At 42.4% G+C, this 22,981-nt stretch overlaps 1 protein-coding gene across 14 annotated transcripts in view, besides 1 other annotated feature; it reads left to right on the top strand.

The window, feature by feature from the left end:
- SPIRE1 (spire type actin nucleation factor 1) overlaps window positions 1-22,981 on the top strand; it is a 215,580-nt gene that overhangs the window by 99,517 nt on the left and 93,082 nt on the right. For 13 of the 14 annotated variants that reach the window (NR_197429.1, NM_001394323.1, NM_020148.3 and 10 more), the window contains one exon: window positions 15,671-15,901. The exons of the other annotated variant lie outside the window; for it this stretch is intronic. Coding sequence is in view for 12 of the 13 variants with exons in the window: in NM_001394323.1 (NP_001381252.1) it covers window positions 15,671-15,901 (231 nt within the window). In the remaining variant the exon portion in view is untranslated. The remainder of the gene's footprint in view (window positions 1-15,670; window positions 15,902-22,981) is intronic. 14 annotated transcript variants of the gene reach the window in all.
- Window positions 22,437-22,616: a silencer, noted in NCBI's record as "silent region_9314". NCBI's record gives its function as "represses an Ori minimal core promoter by ATAC-STARR-seq in GM12878 lymphoblastoid cells {active_cell/tissue: GM12878}" and the evidence as "EXISTENCE:reporter gene assay evidence [ECO:0000049][PMID:35858748]".

Genomic DNA, 22,981 nt, shown 5'->3' with positions numbered 1-22,981 from the left:
CTACCATCGTACATGTTTATGTAACAAACTTCCACATCCTGCACATGTATCCTGGAACATAAAATAATAAAATAAAATAAAACAAAAAATATAAAATAAAATGTTAAGAAAATAAAATAAATTTAGTCAGGTGTTGGTGGCAGGTGCCTGTGGTCCTAGCTACTCTGGAGGCTGAGATGGGAGGATCACTTGAGCCCAGGAAGTCAAGGCTCCAGTGAGCCATGATTACACCACTGCACTCCAGCCTGAGTGACAGAGTGAGATCATGTCTCAGAAACAGAAAACAAAACAAATACATTATTATGAGAATAAATTAATAGATTTCATCAGAATACTAAAGAGGTCCATAGCATAAACAAGGTTGTAAATCCCTGATGTTAGAACATTTTAGTGGATGAAAATGTGGGTAGGATATAGAGTCTGTGCCATCCTTCTTATTTCTCTTGCTCTCCTACTAATAAGAAAGAATGAATCAAACTGAATGCTAGTTTTCTGATTACAAAAAGAAAACTTTGTAAACTTAACTTGGATGCTGTTATTGTCAATCTCATTAACAATCCTTCCCAGAGGTCAGACAATTGTACTAATGTTGCTGGTGATAGTACTATTGTACAGCCCTTACTTGTTACTGTGTAATTCAAAAAGCTCAGAAAATCAAAAGTTCTTTTGCAATTGTGGCACCCAAACTCATTTGGTGGCAAAATTTAACCGAACTGATATGAGACTATGTATATAAATAGTCTTTCTTTTCCTGCTAGCTGTAAATATTCATATATTTCACTATAGGAATATTAATGTGTTGATTATAGGATTCTGACCCAGATCCCACTTGGGAGAAGTACAAAATATATGGGATGTCTTTAATAAACCTTTCTAAAAATCTGAAAATTATGAACTTACAAACACAGCTAACCTTAAAGATTTTAGATAAGAGACTGTGGAGATGTAGTAATAAAATGATGTGAGGTGATGATAGTGCTGATGGTGGTCTTGGTAAAAATAATTTAATGGCCAGGCACGGTGGCTCAAGCCTGTAATCCCAGCACTTCGGGAGGCCAAGGCGGGCGGATCACCTGAGGTCGGGAGTTCGAGACCAGCCTGACCAACATGGAGAAACCCCGTCTCTACTAAAAATACATTAGCTGGGCATGGTGGCACATGCCTGTAATCCCAGCTACTCGGGAGGCTGAGGCAGGAGAATCGCCTGAACCTGGGAGGCAGAGGTTGTAGTGAGCCAAGATCATGCCGTTGCACTCCAGCCTGGGCAACAAGAGCAAAACTCCGTCTCAAAAAAAAAAAAAAAAAATTGATCTATTCTAGTTTGTTTTATATTTTAAAAAGAAGAACCTAAATTCAGTGTAACTTGTGTAAGGAGACCACCTATATTCAAAGATAGCCAAACTATTTTTCTTGCTAAGCCAGATTTTTAAATATTTCTTTTTTCTTTTTAATTTGTGGGGATATGTAGTAGGTGTATGTATTTGTGGGTTACGTAAGATATTTTGATACAGACATCCAGTGCGTAATAATCACTGGGGTAATGGGGTCTCCATCACTTCAAGCATTTATCCTTTGTGTTACAAACAATCCAACTATATTCTTTTGCTTATTTTTAAATGTACAGTTAAATTATTTTAAACAGTAGTCACCCTGTTGTGCTAGCAAATATTAGTCTTATTTGTTCTTTTTGTTGTTGTTTTGTTTGTTTAGTTTTGTTTTTTTGAGATGGAGTCTTGCTCTGTCACCCAGGCTAGAGTGCAGTGGGGCGATCTTGGCTCACTGCCAACCTTTGCCTCCCGGATTCCAGCAGTTCTCCCACCTCAGCCTTCCAAGTAGCTGGGATTATAGACACATCCTACCATGCCTGGCTAATTTTTTGTATTTTTAGTAGAGATGGGGTTTCACCACGTTGGCTAGGCTAGTCTCGAACTCCTGACCTCAAGTGATCCGCCCGCCTTGGCATGCCAAAGTGCTGGGATTAGAGATGTGAGCCACCACACTCAGCCTTTCCTTCTGCTATCTCCAGAAGTTCAATTGTTTTAATTTTTAGCTCCCACAAATAAGTAAGAACATGTGAAGTTTGTCTTTCTGTGCCTGGCTTATTTTACTTAATATAATGACACATAGTTCCATTCATGTTGTTGCAAATGACAGGATCTCATTCTTTTTCATGGCTGAATAGTATTCTATTAGATATATGTACCACATTTTCTTTCTCCATTTATCTGTTGATGGACACTTAGGTTGTTTCCAAATCTTAGCTATTGTAAATAGTGCTGCAGTAAACATGGGAGTGCAGATATCTCTTTGATATACTGATTTCCTTTCTTTTGGGTATATAACTAGGAGGGGGATTGCTGGATCGTATGGACTCTATTGGTACTTTTTTGAGGAACCTCCAAACTGTTCCTGATAGTGGTTGTACTAATTTACTTTCCCACCAGCAGTGTACAAGGGTTCCCTTTTCTCCATATCCTCACCAGCATTTGTTATTGCCTTTTAGATAGAAGCCATTTTAACTGGAATGAGATATCATTGTAGTTTTGATTTGTATTACTCTGACAATCAATGATGTCAAGCACCTTTTCATATACCTGTTTGCCATTTCTAATTCTTACTTTGAGAAATGTCTATTCGGATCTTTTGCCCATTTTTAATCAGATTATTAGATTTTTTCCTATAGAATTGTTTGAGGTCCTTATATATTGTGGTTATTACCCCTTGTCAGATGGACAGTTTGCACATATTTTCTCCCGTTCTTTGGGTTGTTTCTTCATTTTGTTGTTTTCTTCACTGGCAAAAGCTATTTAACTTCATGTGATCCCATTTGTCAATTTTTGCTTTGGTTCCCTGTGCCTGTGGGTTATTACTCAAGAAATCTTTGCCCAGTCTAACATCCTGGAGAGTTTCCCCAATGTTTTCTTGTAGTAGTGAGAGGTGACAACGTGCTAGCAGCCCTCGCTCGCTCTTGGCACCTCCTCAGGCCACGGCGTCCACTCTGGCCATGCTTGAGGAGCCCTTCAGCCTGCTGCTGCACCGTGGGAGCCCCTCTCTGGGCTGGCCAAAGCCGGAGCCGGCTCCCTCTGCTTGCAGGGAGGTGTGGAGGGAGAGGCGCGGGTGGCAACCAGGGCTGCGCGTGGTGTTCGCAGGCCAGCACGAGTTCCGGGTGGGTGCAGTCTCGCCCGGCCAGCACTCAGAGCTGCCGGCTGGCGACGCCGGCCCGGGCAATGAGAGGCTTAGCACCCGCGCCAGCAGCTGTGGAGGGTGCGCTGGGTCCCCCAGCACTGCTGGCCCGCCTGCACTGTGCTCGAATTCTCACTAGGCCTCAGCTGCCTCCCTGCGGGGCAGGGCTCGGGACCTGCAGCCTGCCATGCCGGCGCCCCCCCACCCCACCCCACCCCGTGGGCTCCTAAGCAGATGGAGCCTCCCCAGGGGGCGCCTCCCCCTGCTCCAAGGTGCCTGGTCCCATCTACCGCCCAAGGGCTGAGGAGTGCAGGCACGTGGCACGGGACTGGCGGGCACCTCTGCCCGCCGCCCTGGTGCAGGATCCACTAGGGGAAGCCAGCTGGGCTCCTGAGTTGGGTAGGGTCTTGGAGAACTTTTATGTCTAGCTAGAGGATTGTAAATGCACCAATCAGCAGTCTGTGTCTAGCTCAAGGTTTGTAAATGCACCAATCAGCACTCTGTGTCTAGCTCGGGGTTTGTGGATGCACGAGTCAGCACTCTGTATCTAGCTAATCTGGTGGGGACTTGGAGAACTTTTATGTGTAGCTAGAAGATTGTAAATGCACCAATCAGCCCTCTGTGTCTAGCTCCGGGTTTGTGGATGCACCAGTCAGCACTCTATATCTAGCTAATCTGGTGCGGACTTGGCGAACTTTTATGTCTAGCTAGAGGATTGTAAATGCACCAGTCAGCACTCTGTGTGTAGCTCAGGGATTGTAAACACACCAATCAGCACTCTGTCAAAACAGACTAATCAGCTCTCTGTAAAACAGACCAATCAGCTCTCTGTAAAATGGACCAATCAGCAGGATGTGAGTGGGGCCAGATAAGAGAATAAAAGCAGGCTGCCCAAGACAGCAGTGGCACGCTGCTCGAGTCCCCTTCCATGCTGTGAAAGGTTTGTTCTTTCGCTCTTTGCAGTAAATCTTGCCGGTGCTCACTCTTTGGGTTTGCACTGCCTTTGTGAGCTGTAACACTCACCACGAAAGTCTGCAGCTTCACTCCTGAAGCCAGCGAGACCACAAACCCACCAGGAGGCACGAACAACTCCAGACATGCCGCTTTTAAGAACTGTAACACTCACCGCAAAGGTCTGCAGCTTCACTCCTGAAGCCAGTGAGACCAGGAACCCACCAGAAGAAACTAACTCCGGACACATCTAAACATTTGAAGGAAGAAACTCCGGGCACACCATCTTTAAGAACTGGAACACTGCAAGGGTCCGCGGCTTCATTCTTGAAGTCAGTGAGACCAATAACCCACCAATTCCAGACACATTTGTTTCATAATTTGAGGTCTTACATTTAAGTCTTTAATCCAGTATGATTTTATTTTTGTACATAGCGATAGATAGGGGTCTAGTTTCATTCCTCTGCATGTGGATATCCAGTTTTCTCATTTTTCCTGCCATTTATTGAAGAGACCGTCTTTTCCCCAGTGTATATTCTTGGCAACTTTGTCCAAAATGAGTTCATTGTAGATGTATGGATCTATTTCTGAGGGCTCTATTCTGTTCCATTGGTCTGTGTATCTGTTTTTATGCCAGTACCATGATGTTTTGGTTACTGTAGCTTTGTAGTGTAATATAGTTGTAGTATTTGTATATTTGTGGTATTTTATATATATATATATATATTTGTATATTGTAGTGAGAGGTGACAATGTGCTAGCAGCCCTTGCTCGCTCTTGGTGCCTCCTCAGGCCTCAGCATCCACTCTCGCTGCACTTGAGGAGCCCTTCAGCCTGCCACTGCACTGTGGGAGCCCCTCTCTGGGCTGGCCAAGGCTGGAGCCGGCTCCCTCTGCTTGCAGGGAGGTATGGAGAGAGAGGTGTGGGCGGGAACTGGGTCTGCGCCAGGCGCTCGCGGGCCAGCATGAGTTCTGGGTGGGCACTGGCTTGGCAGGCCCCACATTTGGAGTGGCTGGCAGCAACGGCCCTGGGCAGTGAGGGGCTTAGCACCTGGGCCAGCAGCTGCAGAGGGTGCGCTGAGTTCCCCAGCACTGTCGGCCTGCCTGCACTCAAATTCTCACTGGGCCTCAGCTGCCTGCCCGTGGGGCAGGGCTTGGGACCTGCAGCCTGCCATGCCTGAGCCCTGTCCCTGCCCCGCTGCCGTGGTCTCCCATGAGGCCCAAGCCTCCCCGACGGGCGCCACCCCCTGCTCCGCGGCGACCGGTCCCATTGACTGCCCAAGGGCTGAGGAGTGCGGGCGTGTGGCGCAGGACTGGTGGGCAGCTCCACCCGCAGCCCCAACGCGGGATCCACTAGGTGAAGCCAGCTGGGCTTCTGAGTCGGGTGGGGACTTGGAGAACTTTTGTGTCTAGCTCAAGGTTTGTAAACGCACCAATCAGCACCCTGTCAAAAGAGACCAATCAGCTCTCTGTAAAATGGACCAATCAGCTCTCCGTGAAATGGACCAATGAGCAGGATATGGGTGGGGTCGGATAAGGGAATAAAAGCAGGCTGCCCAAGCCAGCAGTGGCAACCCGCTGGGGTCCCCTTCCACACTGTGGAAGCTTTGTTCTTTCGCTCTTTGCAGTAAATCTTGCTGCTGCTCACTCTTTGGGTCCTCACCACCTTTATGAGCTGTAACACTCACCGCCAAGGTCTGCAGCTTCACTCCTGAAGCCAGCAAGACCATGAACCCAGCGGGAGGGAGGAACAACTCCAGAGGGGAGGAATGAACAACTCCAGATGCCCTGGGCCTTTAAGAGCTGTAACACTCATGGCGAAGGTCTGCAGCTTCACTCCTGAAGCCAGCAAGACCATGAACCCACCAGAAGGAAGAAACTCCGGACGCATCTGAACATCTGAAGGCACAAACTCCGGACACACCATCTTTAAGAACTATAACACTCACCGTGAGGGTCCGCAGCTTCATTCTTGAAGTCAGCGAGACCAAGAACCCACCAATTCCGGACACAGTGTTATTTGTATATTTGTAGTATTATTTAAAGTTAACATGATTCCTACAGTTCTGTTCTTTTTGCTTAGGATACCTTTGGCTATTCTGGATCTTTTGTGGTTCCATATAAATTTTAGGATTTTTTTTTTCTATTTCTATGAAGAATGTCATTGGTATTTTTATAGGGATTGTATTGAATCTGTAAGATAGCTTTGGGTAATATGGACATTTTAACAATGTTGATTCTTCCAATCCATGAACATCGACTATCTTTCCATTTTTTGTGTGTCCTCTTCAATTTCTTGCATCAGTGTTTTATAGTTTTCATTATAGAGACCTTTCACTTTAATTCCTAGGTATTTTTTTTTTGTAGCTATTGTAAATGGGATTACTTTCTTGATTTCTTTTTCAGCTTGTTTGCTATTGGCATATGGAAATGTGACTGATTTTTGTATGTTGATTTTGTATCCTCCAACTTTACTGAATTTATCAATTCTAATAGATTTTCGGGAGGGGTTCAGATTTAGGTTTTTCCAAATATAAGATCATACCATCTGCAAGCAAGTATGATTTGACTTCTTCCTTTTCAGTTTCAATGGCCTTTATTTCTTTCTGTTGTCTGATTGCTCTAGCTAGGACTTCCAGTACTGTGTTGAATAACAGTGATGAAAGTGGGCATCCTTATCGTGTTCCTGATCTTAGAAGAAAGGCTTTTAGTTTTTCCCTACTCAGTATGATACTAGCCATGAGTTACTCATATATGCCTTTTATTGTTTTGAGATATGTTCCTTATATACCCAGTTTTTTGAGGGTTTTTATCATGAAGGGATGTTGAAGTTTATGAAATGCTTTTTCAACATCAGTTGGAATAATCATATGGTTTTTGTCCTTCATTCTGTTGATATGATGTGTCAGATTGATTGATTTGCATATGTTGAACCATCTTTGCATCCCTGGGAAAAATCCCACTTGGTTAGGATGAATGATCTTTTTAATGTGTTGTTGAATTCAGTTGGCTAGAATTTTCTTGAGAATTTTTACATCAACATTCATCAGTGATAATGACCTGTAGATTTCTTTTTTTATTTTTCTTTTTTAATAATTAGGTATTCAGTATCCAAAAAAAAATTTTTTTTTTTTTTGATAAGTCTTTGTCTGGTTCTGGTTCTGTTGCCAAAGTGCCAGGGATTCTGTTTAGGTACTGCTGCTCACTGGACAGAAAACCAGTCAATGAGACAACAGTTATTGCCAGGGGAGAAGGCTTTAATTGGGTGCCTGCAGCTGAGGAGATGGGAGATCAGTCTCAAATCATCTCCATGGCCAACTAAAATTAGGGGTTTATATACAGGGAAGAAATGTAACCATGTGTGGGAAAACAAGCGTTAGGGAGGGGTGAGGAAAAGAAGTTGGTCAACAGGAAGTAGGTGGTCGGTTAGGCAATCATGATGGGTGGGGGATTTGAACTCTCATTGTCCAGGTGCAGTGATCTGGTAAGTTTCAGCTCCTTCATACTCTGGGAGGCCTGATGGGTGGTTTCCTGAGAAAGGAACTTGGATAAGACAAATGAAACTTTTTCAAGTGTTAAGACTGGGAGAATCAATTTCTATGTCTATTCAGAGAAATTTATCAGCTCTATGCAACAACTTGGTTGGTTTTAATGCATGATCTTTTTAATGTGTTGTTGGATTTGATTTGCTAGTACTTTATTGAGGATTTTTGCATTAATATTCATCAGTGATACTGGCCTGTAGATTTCTTTTTTTGATGTGTCTTTTGTCTGGTTTTGATGTCAGGGGATTACTCACCTTTGAGAATGAGTTTGGAAGAAATATTCCCTCCTATTTTTCAGAATAGTTTGAGAAGGATTGGTATTAGTTCTTCTTTAAATGTTAGGTAGAATCAGCTGTGAAGCTATTGGGTCCTAGGATTTTCTTTGCTGGGAAGCTTTTTATCACTTTGATCTCATTACTTATTATTTATCTGTTCAGGTTTTGGATTTCTTCATGGTTTGATCTTGGTAGGTTGTATGTGTCTAAGAATTTATCCATTTCATCTGAGTTTTCCAATTTATTGGGATGTAGTTGTTCATAGTAGACACTAATAATCCTTTGACTTTCTGGGGTATCAGTTCTTTTTTTTTTTTTTTTTTTTGAACAGAGTCTTGCTCTGTTGCCCAGGCTGGAGTGCAGTGGTGCAATCTCAGCTCATTGCAACCTCCGCCTCCCAGGTTTAAGCAATTCTGTGCGTCAGCCTCCCAAGTAGCTAGGATTACAGACACGTGCCATCATGCCCAGCTAATTTTTGTATTTTTAGTAGAGACGGGGTTTCACCATCTTGGCTAGGCTGGTCTTGAACTCCTGACCTCGTGATCCACCCACCTTGGCCTCCCAAAGTGCTGGGATTACAGGCATGAGCCACCGCACCCAGCTGGTATCAGTTCTAATGTCTCCTTTTACGTCTTTGATTTTGTTTATTTAGGTCTTTTGTCTTTTTTTCATAGTCTGGCTAAAGGTTTGTCAATTTTATTTGTCTTTTCAAAAAATCAACTTGTTGTTTTGTTGATTTTTTGTATTGTGTTGTTTCACTTTTATTTATTTCTGTTCTGATCTTTATTCTTTGCCTTTACTAATTTGGAGTTTTCTAGTTTTCTAGAAACTAGTTTTCTAGTTCTTTAGGATGCATTTTTAGGTTGTTTATTTGAAGTTTTTTTAGTTTGTTTTGTTTGTTTGTTTGTTTTAATGTAGGTGCCAGCCAGGCCCTTGTCCTTCCCTTCAGGGCAGCAAGTTCCCCCAGGCCCCGGGGTAGGTCTAGAGATGCTGTCTGGTCACTAGGGACTGGAGTCAGAAACCTTAGAAATCTGCCTACTTTTCTGCCTGGTATTCTGTTCTACTGTGGTTGAGCTAGCACTCAAACCATGGGACACAGTCCTTCCCACTCTTCCCTCGCCTCTTCCACAGGCAGAGGAGCCTCACCCCATGGCCACCACCACAGGCCCATGGGGATTACTGCCAGGCTACTGCTGATGTTCATTGAGGGCCCAAGGCCTTTCCAGTCAGTTTTTAGTGAATGCTGCCAGGCCCTGGGACTCACCCTTCAGGGCAGTGGGCTCCCCTCTGGCCCAGTGCAGATCCGGAAATGCTGTCCTAGAGCCAAGTCCTCTTACTGGGAGCCCCAAGAGCCTACTTGGTGCTCTACCCCACTGTGGCCAAGCTGGTACCTAAATTGCAAGATAAAGCCCCTTTTACTTCTCCCTCTGCTTTACTCAAGCACGAGAAGTCTTTCACCTTAGCCACCACAGCGGGGAAGGGGCTGGGTCTCACCTGAAGCCAACTCATCCTGTAGTCTAACCCAAGGTCCATGGCGTACTACCTGGGTATTGCTGCTGATTATTTAGGGCCCAAGGACTCATTAGTCAGCAGGTGATGAATCCTGCCAAGACTGGTTCCTTCTGTTCAAGGCAGCAGGTTCCTTTCTGCCCCAGGGTATACCTAGAAATCCATTAGCTGGGGCCTGGAATGGGGGTCTCATGACTGCCTGGTGTTCTTGTAGCAGGAAGAGCCGCAGACAAAACCCCTCAGACACCGAGTTAAAGAAGGAAGGGGTTTATTTGGCTGGGAGCATTGGCAAGACTCCTGTCTCAAGAGAGCTCCTGGAGTGAGCAATTCCTGTCCCTTTTAAGGGCTCACAACTCTAAGGGGGTCCACGTGAGAGGGTTGTGATTGATTGAGCAAGCAGGGGGTACGTGACTGGGGGTTGCATACACTGGTAATTAGAACGGAACAGAATAGGACAGGGATCTTCACAGTGCTTTTTTTATGCAAATAACCAATTAGGTCAGGGGTTGATCTTTAACTACCAGGCCCAGGGTGTGGTGCCGGGCTGTCTGCTTGTGGATTTCATTTCTGCCTTTTAGTTTTTACTTCTCTCTTTGGAGGCAGAAATTGGGCATAAGACAATATGAGGGGTGGTCTCCTCCCTTATTCTGTCTTACTGTGGCTGAAGCTGGTATCCAATATGCAAGATATAGTCCTCTTTTCCCTCTCCTCTCTTCAAGTGGAAAAAAGGGGTCTCTTTTGGAGCTGCAGACTGTGCTGCCTGGCGTTGGGAGAGGGATAGTGCAAGTACTCTTTTAGCCATCCTGGCTGGTGTCTCAGTAGGTCATGTACCCCACAAGTCCACTGGCTCTGAGCCCAGCTCAGCACCAGGACTTGCCAGGAGTTGCAGTCCTTGTGGCTTAGAGTGCCTTTCAAGTTCATTTAGAGCCTCAGAGCACTTAAGCACGCAGTGGTAAGGCTTGCCAGAACTCAAGTTCCCACTACGGGGATAGGCATTTAGGCGATTCCTCTGTGGCTAGCGCTGGTCTTAATGTTCCTTCTGTGAGTGGGCATTGGCCTCAGCCCGATTTACTTTCCCCTGTGACAGGACAGCACTGAATTCGGTGCAAAGTCTCACAATTGCTGTGCTTTTCTTTTCCCAAGCACACAGATTCTCTCTGCGGCCCATGGCCACTGCCAGGAGGTGGAGGAGGGGTGGCATCAGCAATTCAAGACTGTCTTTCCTACCCTCTTTGGTGCCTCTTTCGGTGGTCTGAAGTTAAAACCTGGTACTGATTTCTGGTTCTTATGAAGGTGCCGTTTTTGTGATAGTTGTTAAATTTGGTGTTCCTGCAGGGCTGATGATCAATAAAGCTGTCTATTCAGCTCTCTTGCTCCACCCCTCTCCCGCCCCATATTTTTTTTTTTTTCTGAGACGGAGTCTCGCTCTGTCACCCAGACTGGAGTGCAGTGGCGTGATGTTGGCTCACTGCAAGCTCTACCTCCTGCCATGCCATTCTCCCGCCTCAGCCTCCTGAGTAGCTGGGACTACAGGCACCTGTCACCACGCCCGGCTAATTTTGTTTTTGTATTTTTAGTAGACACAGGGTTTCTCCGTGTTAGCCAGGATGGTCTCAATCTCCCGACCTCGTGATCTGCCCGCCTCGGCCTCCCAAAATGCTGGGATTACAGGCGTGAGCCACCGCGCCCAGCCACAACCCAGACTTTTAAGAATACAATTCTATAAGTTTTTGAAAAGATTTCTACTAAATATTTTATTTTATATATACAAAAAGGAACTCAGAAGTAGATGTATTACTGTTATAAAACAACTTACCAATTTAATTATGAGATATTTATTTAGCATCTGCTATGAACCAAGTGCTGTATGACATACAGCATTTTGTTCACAATGGTGAACAAAATAGACAAGATCCAAAGCATTATGGGCCTTACATTTTAGTGGAGAAAGTAGACAATAAACAAACATTATGGTTTGAGGTGCTTATTACTTATTCACATGGAAGTATTAAGTAGACCATATGATATATTGCCTGCATCCCAGAGACAAACTGTAGATTAGTAATATAAGTTAAGGAAATATCGGAATACATATTGTATTCATAGCATTGGCTATGTATAAGAGCACTTTGCAAGAGATTTTGGAAGAAAGTAGAGTGCATGAGCTCTGAGGAACTCCATCAATTAAACAGTTGCAGGAGGAAGGATCTGTAGACAGATTGAGAAGTAGTTGCTGAGAGAAAATCTAGAATCCAGAGTGTTTAGAACGGAAGAAGTGAGTCACTTGTGTTGGATGCTATTAAGCAGTCATTTAGGATGAGAATGGGTTAAACTTCATATATAGAGATTGTTTGTGATTTTAGTATTTGTGTTTCAGTGGTTTCAGAAGGAAAGACGTTAGATGGGAATGAATTAAACAGTGAATGGAAGGAGGGAAGGGAGAGATGGGCGCATTACAGATAGTGGCTCATGTCTGTAATCCTAGCACTTTGGGAGACCAAGGCAGGAGGATTGCTCGAGCCCAGGGGTTCAAAACTAGCCTGCGCAACATAGCAAGACCTCATCTCTGCAGAAAATTTAAAAATTAGCCAGGTGTCACCATGCACCTGTAGTCCCAGCTACTCAGGAGGCAGAGGCTGCAGTGAGCCACGATCACACCATTGCACTCTAGCCTGGGTGACAGAGTGAGATCCTGTCTCTCTAGAAAAAAAAGAAGAAATAACAACTCTTGAGAAAAACAAGTACTACATAAACTGCTGCCTTACCTTCATGACTCTATCCAAACGAATACCTGAGATTTTTCTCTTTTCATCTTCATCTTCCAGGCCTTCTGCAGCCTCATAGCAAAGATGAGGGCATCATTGCTACCATCAGCATTGCTACCGCCCTTTCGGGAGGTTTGCTTGTAAAGGGAGCACAGAAATGGGATTGCACTGGAGGGTATGAGGGGTTAGGAGAGTGGGGCTGACCTTTAAACAGGAATAGAAGACCTACTCCTCCACTGTGAAAGGAAGAAAGGGAAAATAAGTAGAGATTCCTATCAGTTTGTACATTTGAAAGTGGGAAAATGATTGTTTTATTTGGAGCTGAGCCCTAGAGAGGCAGAAAAGAGTGTTGGATTAAAGAGAAAGATGATATAAAATGACTTCTTGAAGAAGAATGGATCAGCTCCTGTAGGCAAGGTAATTGAGCAGAGAAAAGAGCAAGCTTGCTGAGTGATTCTTGGGTCTTTGCTATGGTTGGAAGCCATCGCTGGTGTTGATATTTGCAATGGTTTTGTGATTTTTCTCCCCCCAGCTCTAGAGGGAGAGATAGGGTTATATAACAGGGTTTTTCCCGCCTCCCTAGGAAGAAGGATAGGGTTGATTGGGCACGGTAGCTCACAGCTGTAATCCCAGCACTCCGGGAGGCCAAGGCAGGCGGATCACGAGGTCAGGAGATCGAGACTGTCCTGGCCAACATGGTGAAACCCCGACTCTACTAAAATACAAAAAGTACCCCGGCATGGTGGTGCACACCTGTACTCCCAGCTACTCAAGAGGCTGAGGCAGGGGAATCCCTTGAACCCGGGAGGTGGAGATTGCAGTGAGCCGAGATCGCGCCACTACACTCCAGCCTGGTGACAGAGCAAGACTCTGTCTCCAAAAAAAAAAAAAAAAAAAAAAAAAAAAAACAACAATAACAAAAACAAACAAAAAGCAAAACAAAAAAAGAAGGGGAGGGTTATATGGATGGTTAGAGTCATCCAATCATGTAAAACTCAGTTAATTGTGATTTCTCACTGGGAATAATTGCAACAAGACCTTCTCAGCCTTAAAAATATATATACTGAATGTAATCTAACTTTTTGATTTCTGAGGCTTTCATTATATTAGTAGGGACGCTCTGATAGTTAAAGTGACTGCCCTAGGTTCAGTTTAACAAGTTTTTTTCTAATGCACACCACAGTGTTAGGCTCTGCCGTCTTTGAAAGTTAAAATCCTTGCCCTAAGCAGCACCTGCCTGTGGTGAGAATGGTACATGCTGTGAGAGCAATGTGTACCCTGTGCCAGGGAAGCACTGAAATGGTACCTTCTCCTGAACAGGCTGGTGGACAAAGTGGGGATTGTCCTGGGACACTGCCAGGAGGGATAACTAAAGTAGTCAATTGCCTTGGAACTTAGAAGATCCATTGTTTAAATTCATTTTTATAATAGAAAATAGTGCGTGGTGGCTCATTCCTGTAATCCTAGCACTTTGAGAGGCCGAGGCAGGCCCATTGCTTAAGTCCAGGAGTTTGAGTCCAGCTTGGACAACATGGTGAAACCCCGTTTCTAAAAAATTCCAAAAAAAATTAGCCAGGCCTGGTGGTGTGTACCTGTTTTCCCAGCTACTAGGGAGGCTAAGGTGGGAGGATCATCTCAGCCCAAGGAGGTTGAAGCTGCAGTGAGCCGTAATTGTACCACTGCACTCCAGCCCGGGTGACAGAGTGAGACCTTGTCTCAAAAGAAGAAGAAAAAAAAAAAAAAGAAAGAAAAGAATGGCTACAGTGCCAGGTCAGACTGTAAATCCAGTGAAAATATTACATGTTTTCAGTAAAAAATATTTTAAAACAGTATTGTTTAAAAACTTAGAAGTTAAGAATTTTTAAGCATGATATTCATTTTGAATGCTAGTGTTGAGAAAATATTATTTCATTGGTAAAGTAGATTTCAGATTTTGTAGAGAATTTTTGAATTTTTGTAGAGAATTTTGAGTGAGGCTTTTAAGAGCTAGTCAATGACTCTCTTGTATTTAACTCATGTTAGAAACTTCTGACTTTCTTTTTTATTTGTGATGCACTTTTTTAAAAATGCGGTATTACCAGCTATAAATGAAATACTGAAAATGAAAGATTTTATTTATTTTGGGAGTAACTGATAAACATTGGAAAAGAATGGGCTAAAGGAAGGAGAGAGCAGTGAGATCATTATTGAGTCCCTGTAATAAGTCAGATATTGTACCAGGTACTTCCATGCATAGTGAATGCATAGTCTCAACAGAATCTTATTAAATGGAGGTATCATTGACATCCCCATTTAACGGATGAGAAAAGTCATCACTAAAATGATTTGTCCTGAGGCAGCTGGCTAGTGGTAAAAGTCAGGATTTAATTTTAATTCTTTGGCTTCATTGCCTGTTTGTTGTTGTTGTTGTTGTTTGTTTGTTTGTTTTTATGAGATAGAGTTTTGCTGAAGTGCAGTGGCGCAATGTCAGCTCCGCTTCCCCAGTTCAAGCGATTCTCCTGCCTCAGCCTTCCAAGAAACTGGGATTACCGGCACACGCCACCACGCCCAGCTCATTTTTGTAATTTTAGTAGAGACAGGGTTTCGCCATGTTGGCCAGGCTGATCTCGAACTCCTGACCTCAAGTGATCTGCTCGCCTCAGCCTCCCAAAGTGCTGGGATTACAGGCATGAGCCACCACGCTGGCTGCCAGTGTTCTTTAGAGAGAGAGAGAGAGACACAGAGAGAGAGAGAACAATAAAATTAAAAGGTTTTATATGTGCTTTTTTAAATATATAGCAGAAAGGCACTATTGAGAAATAAAGTGGGATTTCCTGTATTGGCCAAAGTCTGGAGCAGTTGTCGAGGTGGTATGCAACAGTGGTGTATCTACTGTTCATAAATGAGGTTCATTTGCCCGGCAGTAATATTGATGGAGGTGTGTGGTAGGGAGGGTTATCTGTGAGCTGCCTTGAAAATTCAGGGTTTGCAAAAGGTCTCTCATTTGTTTGCATCGTCTGAGAGAGATGTGTTTTCAGTGATTGAATGGAACTAGAGAAGTGTGTATACATGGATATGAATAGATTTTTGTTGTTGTTTAGGCTTGAGTTAATTGCTACCCGTAAGTGAGTTTTCAGTCTTTCAGATACTTGGGATGTCTGTGCATCTCTAATTAGATAAACATTGGCATAAGAGTTCTGAGAGGATATATTCTTTGATAACTATATCTGTTCTCAGAAATACCTTTGGGAAATGTGGAAAATCAACTCGGTTAATATTTTATATATGAATGGCAAATACAAATTTTAACACAAAGTATAAATCTAAGAGAATATAAAAAGGGTTTGTGTATGTGTTGTATGTTGGTTTGAGGGAAAAAATCATACTAAACATCTTATGCCTCACAATTAGTCCTAGAAAGCTCTTCATTCATCTCCATTAACCACTTTTTTAAATGTTCCTAGGTCATTGAATCTTTGGGAATTATTATTTATAAAGCACTGGACTATGGTTTGAAGGAGAATGAAGAAAGGGAATTAAGCCCTCCCCTAGAGCAGCTTATCGATCACATGGCCAACACGGTGGAAGCTGACGGTAGCAATGATGAGGGCTATGAGGCTGCAGAAGAAGGCCTGGGAGATGAAGATGAAAAGAGAAAAATCTCAGCTATTCGGTCATATAGAGATGTCATGAAGGTAAGGCAGCGTTTTATGCAGTACTTGTTTTTTTCAAGAGTTGTTATTTCTTCTTCTTTTTTTTCCCCCCCTGGAGAGATGGTCTCACTCTGTCGCCCAGGCTAGAGTGCAGTGGTGTGATCATGGCTCACTGTAGCCTCTGCCTCATGAGTAGCTGGGACTACAGGTGTATGCCACCACACCTGGCTAATTTTTAAATTTTTTGCAGAGATGAGGTCTTGCTATGTTGCTCAGGCTGGTTTTGAACCCCTGGGCTCAAGTGATTCTCCTGCCTTGGCCTCCCAGAGTGCTGGGATTACAGAAATGAGCCACTGTGTCCAAGCTGTTATTTTTTAAAAAATTGAATGGTTGACACATATCTACATTTATTTAAAAATAATAACGAGGCTGGGCGCGATGGCTCACGGCTGTAATCCCAGCACTTTGGGAGGCCGAGGCAGGCGGATCACGAGGTCAGGAGATCAAGAACGTCCTGGCTAACACGGTCAAACCCTGTCTCTACTAAAAATACAAAAAATTAGCTGGGCGTGGTGGCGGGCACCTGTAGTCCCAGCTACTTGGGAGGCTGAGGCAGGAGAATGGCGTGAACCTGGGAGGCAGAGCTTGCAGTGAGCTGAGATCACGCCACTGCACTTCAGCCTGGGTGACAGAGCGAGACTCCGTCTCAATAATAATAATAATAATAAAGAACGGTGATTCGGCATTTAATAATAGTTCCCAGATTTGTCAGCAGCCTGAACATGGACATTTATGATTGAATCATAACTCAAGAAACCGCTTTTAGATATTATATACCCCTTATCATTACATGTCATGTATCAGCTTGACTGGGCATTATATCTTCAGTTGACCTCTGTATTTCCTTTTTCTAGAGTAAAAAACAACTGTGATCCACTTACTTACATGAAGATTTTGCATCTCAAGTGTCACAGCTGATTGTTTTAGGTTTTCTTGACCTACTTAGTGGTATTTATATGTAATGAAGCAAGTTTGGTTGGTTATACTGAATTTTTCTCTTTTAAATTTTGCTATGTACTTGAAGGTCATAATTTCTACCATGCCAAATGTACAGAGATTAACATCAAACAGATCTGTCAAATTAGCCATAAAAGCATTCTGTTTTCAGTTATTTATATATGATATTTACTAGGTTTTATAAGCAGTGTCAATGGTGTATCTCTTATTTTCCAACTTTTCATAAAGGTGTTTCAGAGACAGGAATATAGAAGCACTGTGACAGTGGTAGTTTTCAGGTGTGCTGAGTGCCCCTGTTCCTTAGGCCTCCTTAGATGGTACAACTCTCAAGGACTCTGGAAAGAACTATACAAGTTATTATTCTTATGAAATTCAGATATATTCTTTAGTTCTTTTAAGATGTGTAGTGCTTCTCATTTTAAATCAGCAGGCTCTACACATAAAATACATATATATAAATACACAAACAAATAGAAATTTGATGTGTTTTATTTATGTTATGTTTTCTAGATGTTAAGGTTTATTTTTTAAAAACATGTAAACACACTTAAAGGCCAATTAAACTTTCTGCAGACCACAAATGACCAGCTTGTTCTGTGGAAGACCATTGATAAATAGTGATTGAAAAAATGAAGAGTAAAACATTTTACATTAAGTAGCAAAACCACTCATACATCTGAAAGTGAGCTAACAGTATTTTGGTGGTGTGTGTGTTGGGGGAAGTATACATAAGGAGTGGTGAAAGAGGAAAGGAACACCCACCTAACCAACTAGATCCATAAAATCAACCCTGGCACCAGTAATGTAACATGTCATAGCCAGATTGCTGTCTTAAACTACAGGTTTGGAAGATGAGATCCAGAGAGTAATTGGAATTTTAAAATTCTTATTCAATGACATTAAATATCTTAACTTATAAAAAAATTATTGGACATTTAGAAGTTTGAATGGATACCTTTTATTTTTTAATTTGAGCTACTGTGGTTCCCTAACTTATTGCTATCATTATATGAAAAATGAATAGTTAAAAGGGTGCTTACGAGGACAGGTTTTTGGCTGGGCATGGTGGCTCACACCTGTAATCCCACCACTTTGGGAGACCCAGGTGGGAGGATCACTTGAGCTCAGGAGTTTGAGACCAGCCTGGGCAACATAGTGAGACCTCGTCTCTATTTAAAAGGAAAAAAAAAAAAACGACTGGGCGCGATAGCTGATGCCTGTAATCCCAGCATTTTGGGAGGCCGAGGCAGGTGGATCACTTGAGGCCAAGAGTTCAAGACTAGCTGGCCAACATGGGGAAACCCTGTTTCTACTAAAAAAAAAAATACAAAATTAATCAGGTGTGGTGGCACATACCTGTAGTCCCAGCTAGTCAGGAGGCTGAGGCATGAGAATCTCTTGAACCTAGGAGGTGGAGGTTGCATTGAGCTGAGAGCACACCACTGCACTCCAGCCTGGGTGACAGAGTGAGACTCTGTCTCAAAAAAAGAAAAAAAAAAAGAAAGAAAGAAAAAAAATTTTTTTAAGGTTTTATAGATTGAAGGAAAACTGAAGACTACCAATTCTATTAGAAATTTTATTGGAGAATATCACAACCTCACCTGTTGTTTCTTGGTTTCCATGCTAATCAAAACTGACCCATAAAATTCTCCACATCTGTGACTGTTCTGAATGTTCCATGTAGCTGAATGAGAAGAAAAATAATTGCTGAAACATTTTACAAGTAAACGGAAATTTTAAAGTATTATAAAACCCATGATTCCTCATCGTGTAGTGCAGATATGAGTTTGTGGTTTGGTTAGCAGGTTAAAAACCTCAATTCATAAATTGACTCATTGTTTACTTTGTTGGAAGAGAAGACAAGAATTATCTGAAGAATTGTAACTGCTTTCTCCTTGTTTGAAGTAGAAATGTGAAACTAAGTTTAATTAATACAAATAATAGGATGTTTAAGAACTTGAAACAATTTGTTTTCAATTCTTAGCAAGCAAGACGCTCTTTAATGTGTAACTTTTGTCCCGGATAGTCTTTTATTTCAAGTAATCTAATAATTTGTTATGTTTTAATATGGTACATTGTAGTTGAAAAGTGCCTTTATATCCCCCTTCTATTACTGGAGCCTTAGGGTAACACTGTGAGGTAGATTGGGCAGGCATTCCAATACCCGTTTCACAAAGTAAGTCAGGGGGAGAGTAATGTTAGAAGACAGAGTGGAATGCTATCTTCAAAGTTCTAACATTAAATCTAGAATTATTTATCCAGTATAATGTCTCAACAATAAAGGTAAAATATCAGCTAGGCATGGTGGATCACTTGAGCCCAGGAGGTTGAGGCTGCAGTGGGCAGTAATGGTGCCGTTGCACTCAAGCCTGGGTGACACAGTGAGATCTTTTTTTGTTTTGTTTCTTTAAGAAAAGGTAAAATATCTTATCTGACAAACACAGAAAATTTGTCACCAGCAGACCTTGACTAAAGGCAATACCAAAGAGTATACATCAGGCAGAAGGCAGTCCATGTCTGGTAGAAACTAGGAGATGCAGAATATTTGAAGAGCAAAGAAAAATAAACATGGGCCAGACATGGTGGCTCACGCCTGTAATCCCAGCACTTTGGGAGGCCGAGACGGGCGGATCATTTGAGGTCAGGAGTTCACGACCAGCCTGGCCAACATAGTGAAACCCCATCTCTACTAAAAATACAAAAAATTAGCTGGGCATGGTGGTGCATGCCTGAAATCCCAGCTACTTGTGAGGCTAAGGCAGGAGAATGGCTTGAACCTGGGAGGCGGAGGTTGCAGTAAGCCAAGATTGTGCCCCTGCACTCCAGCCTGGGCGATGGAGCAAGACTCCACCTCAAAAAAAGAAAAATAAACATGAAAATAAATCTAAATGAATATTAACAGCAAAAAATAATAATGTCTTACATGATTTAGAATATATTTAGAATTAAAATGTATAACAGTAGCGTGGAGTTAGTGTTCTAAGACCTTGGCATTGGGAAGAGGTTAAAGCACTAATTTATTAGTGCTAACCTTTATTAGGAAAGCCACTAAAGCCTAACCTTTATTAGAAAAGCCACTAAAAATAAATAAAAGAATTTGTAAATATCAGGCCAATAGGGAAGGGGGCAGGTGGAGCTAAGAAAATTACTGGTAATCCAAAAGAAGAGATGGAAAGAATTGAAAAGGAATATAGAACAGATGGGAAAACAAATAGAAGATGGTAATTTGATACTGAAATATATTGGTAATTACATTAAATGTAAATGGTCTAAATTTATACTGCTCAATACAGTAGTTACTAGCCACATGTGACTATTAATCACTTGAAATGTGGTTAGTCTAAATTGACGTGGACTGAAAGTACAAAATCTATACTGGATTCCAAACACTTAGTACCAAAAAAAGAATGTAAAATGCCTTGTTGGCTGCGTGCGGTGGCTCATGCCTGTAATCCCAGCACTTTGGGAGGCTGAGGTGGGCAGATCATTTGAGGTCAGGAGTTCGAGACCTGACTACCATGGTGAAACCCCGTCTCTACTAAAAAGACAAAAAAGTTAGCCAGGCATGGTGCTGCATGCCTGTAATCCCAGCTACTCGGGAGGCTGGGGCAGGAGAATCACTTGAACCCGGGAAGCAGAGGTTGCAGTGAGCCGAGATCATGCCAGTGCACTCCAGCCTGGGCAGCAGAGCGAGACTCCATCTCAAAAGAAAAAAAAAAAGCCTCATTAATAATTTTTGTATTGGCTATAATTTGAAGTATTACAATAATATATATTATTGTATTGGGTTAACTAAAATATATTATCAAAGTTAATTTCACTTGTTTCTTTTTATTTTTTTTTGATGTGGCTACTAGAAAATTTAAAACTACATACATGGCTCACACTGTATTTCTGTGGATTGTACTAGCCTAAAATACTCTAATTTTTAAAAGACACAGATTTTTAGACTGCATTAAAAATACAAAATCCAATCATACATTGTTTACTGAGTAGACACTATAAATAGGACATAGAAAGCTTGAGTAAAAGAATGGAAAAATATAACATTCTAACCAAAAGAAAAGTATCACAGACATTATTTTAATATAAAATGGACCTAAAGGCAAAAAGCATTACTAGAGATAAAAAAGGATGCTTACTGATAAAAAGTTCAATTTACTAAGGAGAAATAGCATTCATAAATTTATGTGCACCTAGTAACATAGCCTGTAACAGTAGCATTGAACAACATTCAAACAAATACAACTAAAAGGGGAAGTAGACAAATGTACAACCATAGAGGGAGGTTTAAAATACCTCTCTTAGTATCAGTACAAATATAGAATATTTGGATAATGAGAATAACAAACCTGACTTAATAGGACATGCCACCCACCCACTGCAGAGTACACATTCTTTTCAGGTATACATGGAACAATTAAAAATTTCTCCGTATTCCAGGCCTTAAAGCAAGTCTTAACAAATTTCAAAGGGTTATAATTACATAGGAAATGTTCTGTTACCATGGTGGAATTAAGCCAGATATGAATAACAAAAAGATTTTATTATTTCCACATATACTTGGAAATTAAGAAACTACTTTTAAATGCCCCAAGAGTCAAAGAAGAAATCACAGTGGAAATAAACTGAATAATAACAAATGCGTGACCTATCAAAGTTTGTGGTATGCAGACCAGGCTTGGTGGCTCACACCTATAATCCCAGCACTTTGGGAGGCCAAGGCAGGTAGATCGCTTGAGGCTGAGAGCAAATATGCTGCACAAAGGGGTGATTCACACCCCAGGCAGGACAGTGCAGGATGGTGTGAGATTTCACCATGCAACTCAGCACAGCATATAATTTAAAGCTTAGGATTTATTTATTTCTGGAATTTTCCATTTAATATCTTTGGATGCAGTTGACCATAGATAACTGAAGCCATGGAAAGTGAAACTGTGGATAAGGAGGAACTACTGTAATTTAAATCCTAACAATTGCTAAGAAGAAAATGCAGAATGCAGTGATTAAAAAGTAACAGAGAGGCCAGGTGCAGTGGCTCACGCCTGTAATCCCAGCATTTTGAGAGGCCGAGGTGGACAGATCACCTGAGATCAGGAGTTTGAGACCAGCCTGGTCAACATGGTGAAACTCCGTCTCTACTAAAAATACAAAAAATAGCCGGGCATAGTGGTGCAAGCCTGTAATCCCAGCTACTTGGGAGGCTGAGGCAGGAGAATCGCTTGAACCTGGGAGGCGGAGGTTGCAGTGAGCCAAGATCGCAACACTTCGCTCCAGTCTGGGCAACAAGAGTGAAACCCCATTTCAAAAAAAAAGTAACAGAGAAATTAGAGGGGGGTAGTTCATCTAGAAAGGACAAACAGGGAAGACGTTCTGAGCAGGTGACATTGAAATCAACACCTGGAGGAGTGAGGAATCAGCAAAAAGATTGGTGTGTTTTAAAGAAACAAGTCTAGGATTACCAAAACAAAGTGGAAGGAAAAGCCACAAATGGGATTTGAGAGGTAGGTGTGAGCTAGATGACGAAGGACTTGAGGAACACTGAAGAGTTTGGGTTTTAAGTTCAGTGGGAGCCACTGGCCCTCCCATGCCTGGGACACTCTTTCCTTAGGTCTGTGCATGGCTCACTCCAATCTTCATTGATCTCTCTGCTCTGGTGCCACCTACTGACCACTCTTTCCACATTATTGCCCCTCCCCACCACTGGCCTCATTTTCTACCTCTCATCTGCTTTCTTTTTCTTTTTCTTTCTTTTCTTTTTTTTTTTTTTTTAAGACAGAGTCTCTCTCTGTTGCCCAGGCTGGAGTGCAGTGGCGTGATCTCGGCTCACTGCAGCCTCCACCTCCCGGGTTCAAGCAATTCTCCTGCCTCAGCCTCCCAAGTAGCTGAGGCACTTGGTGCACTCGCCACCATGTCCAGCTAATTTTTGTATTTTTAGTAGAGACGGGGTTTCACTATGTTGGTCAGGCTGGTCTCAAACTCCTGACCTCAGGTGATCCACCTCAGCCTCCCAAAGTGCTGAGATTACAGGTGTGAGCCACCACACTTGGCCTATTTTTCTTAATAGTAGCTGTTATTCCCAACGTGTGTGTGTGTGTGTGTGTG

This window comes from Homo sapiens, chromosome 18, assembly GCF_000001405.40.
Source record: "Homo sapiens chromosome 18, GRCh38.p14 Primary Assembly".
NCBI classification, from domain to species: Eukaryota; Metazoa; Chordata; class Mammalia; order Primates; family Hominidae; genus Homo; species Homo sapiens.
This window is presented reverse-complemented; position numbering and strand designations above follow the sequence as displayed.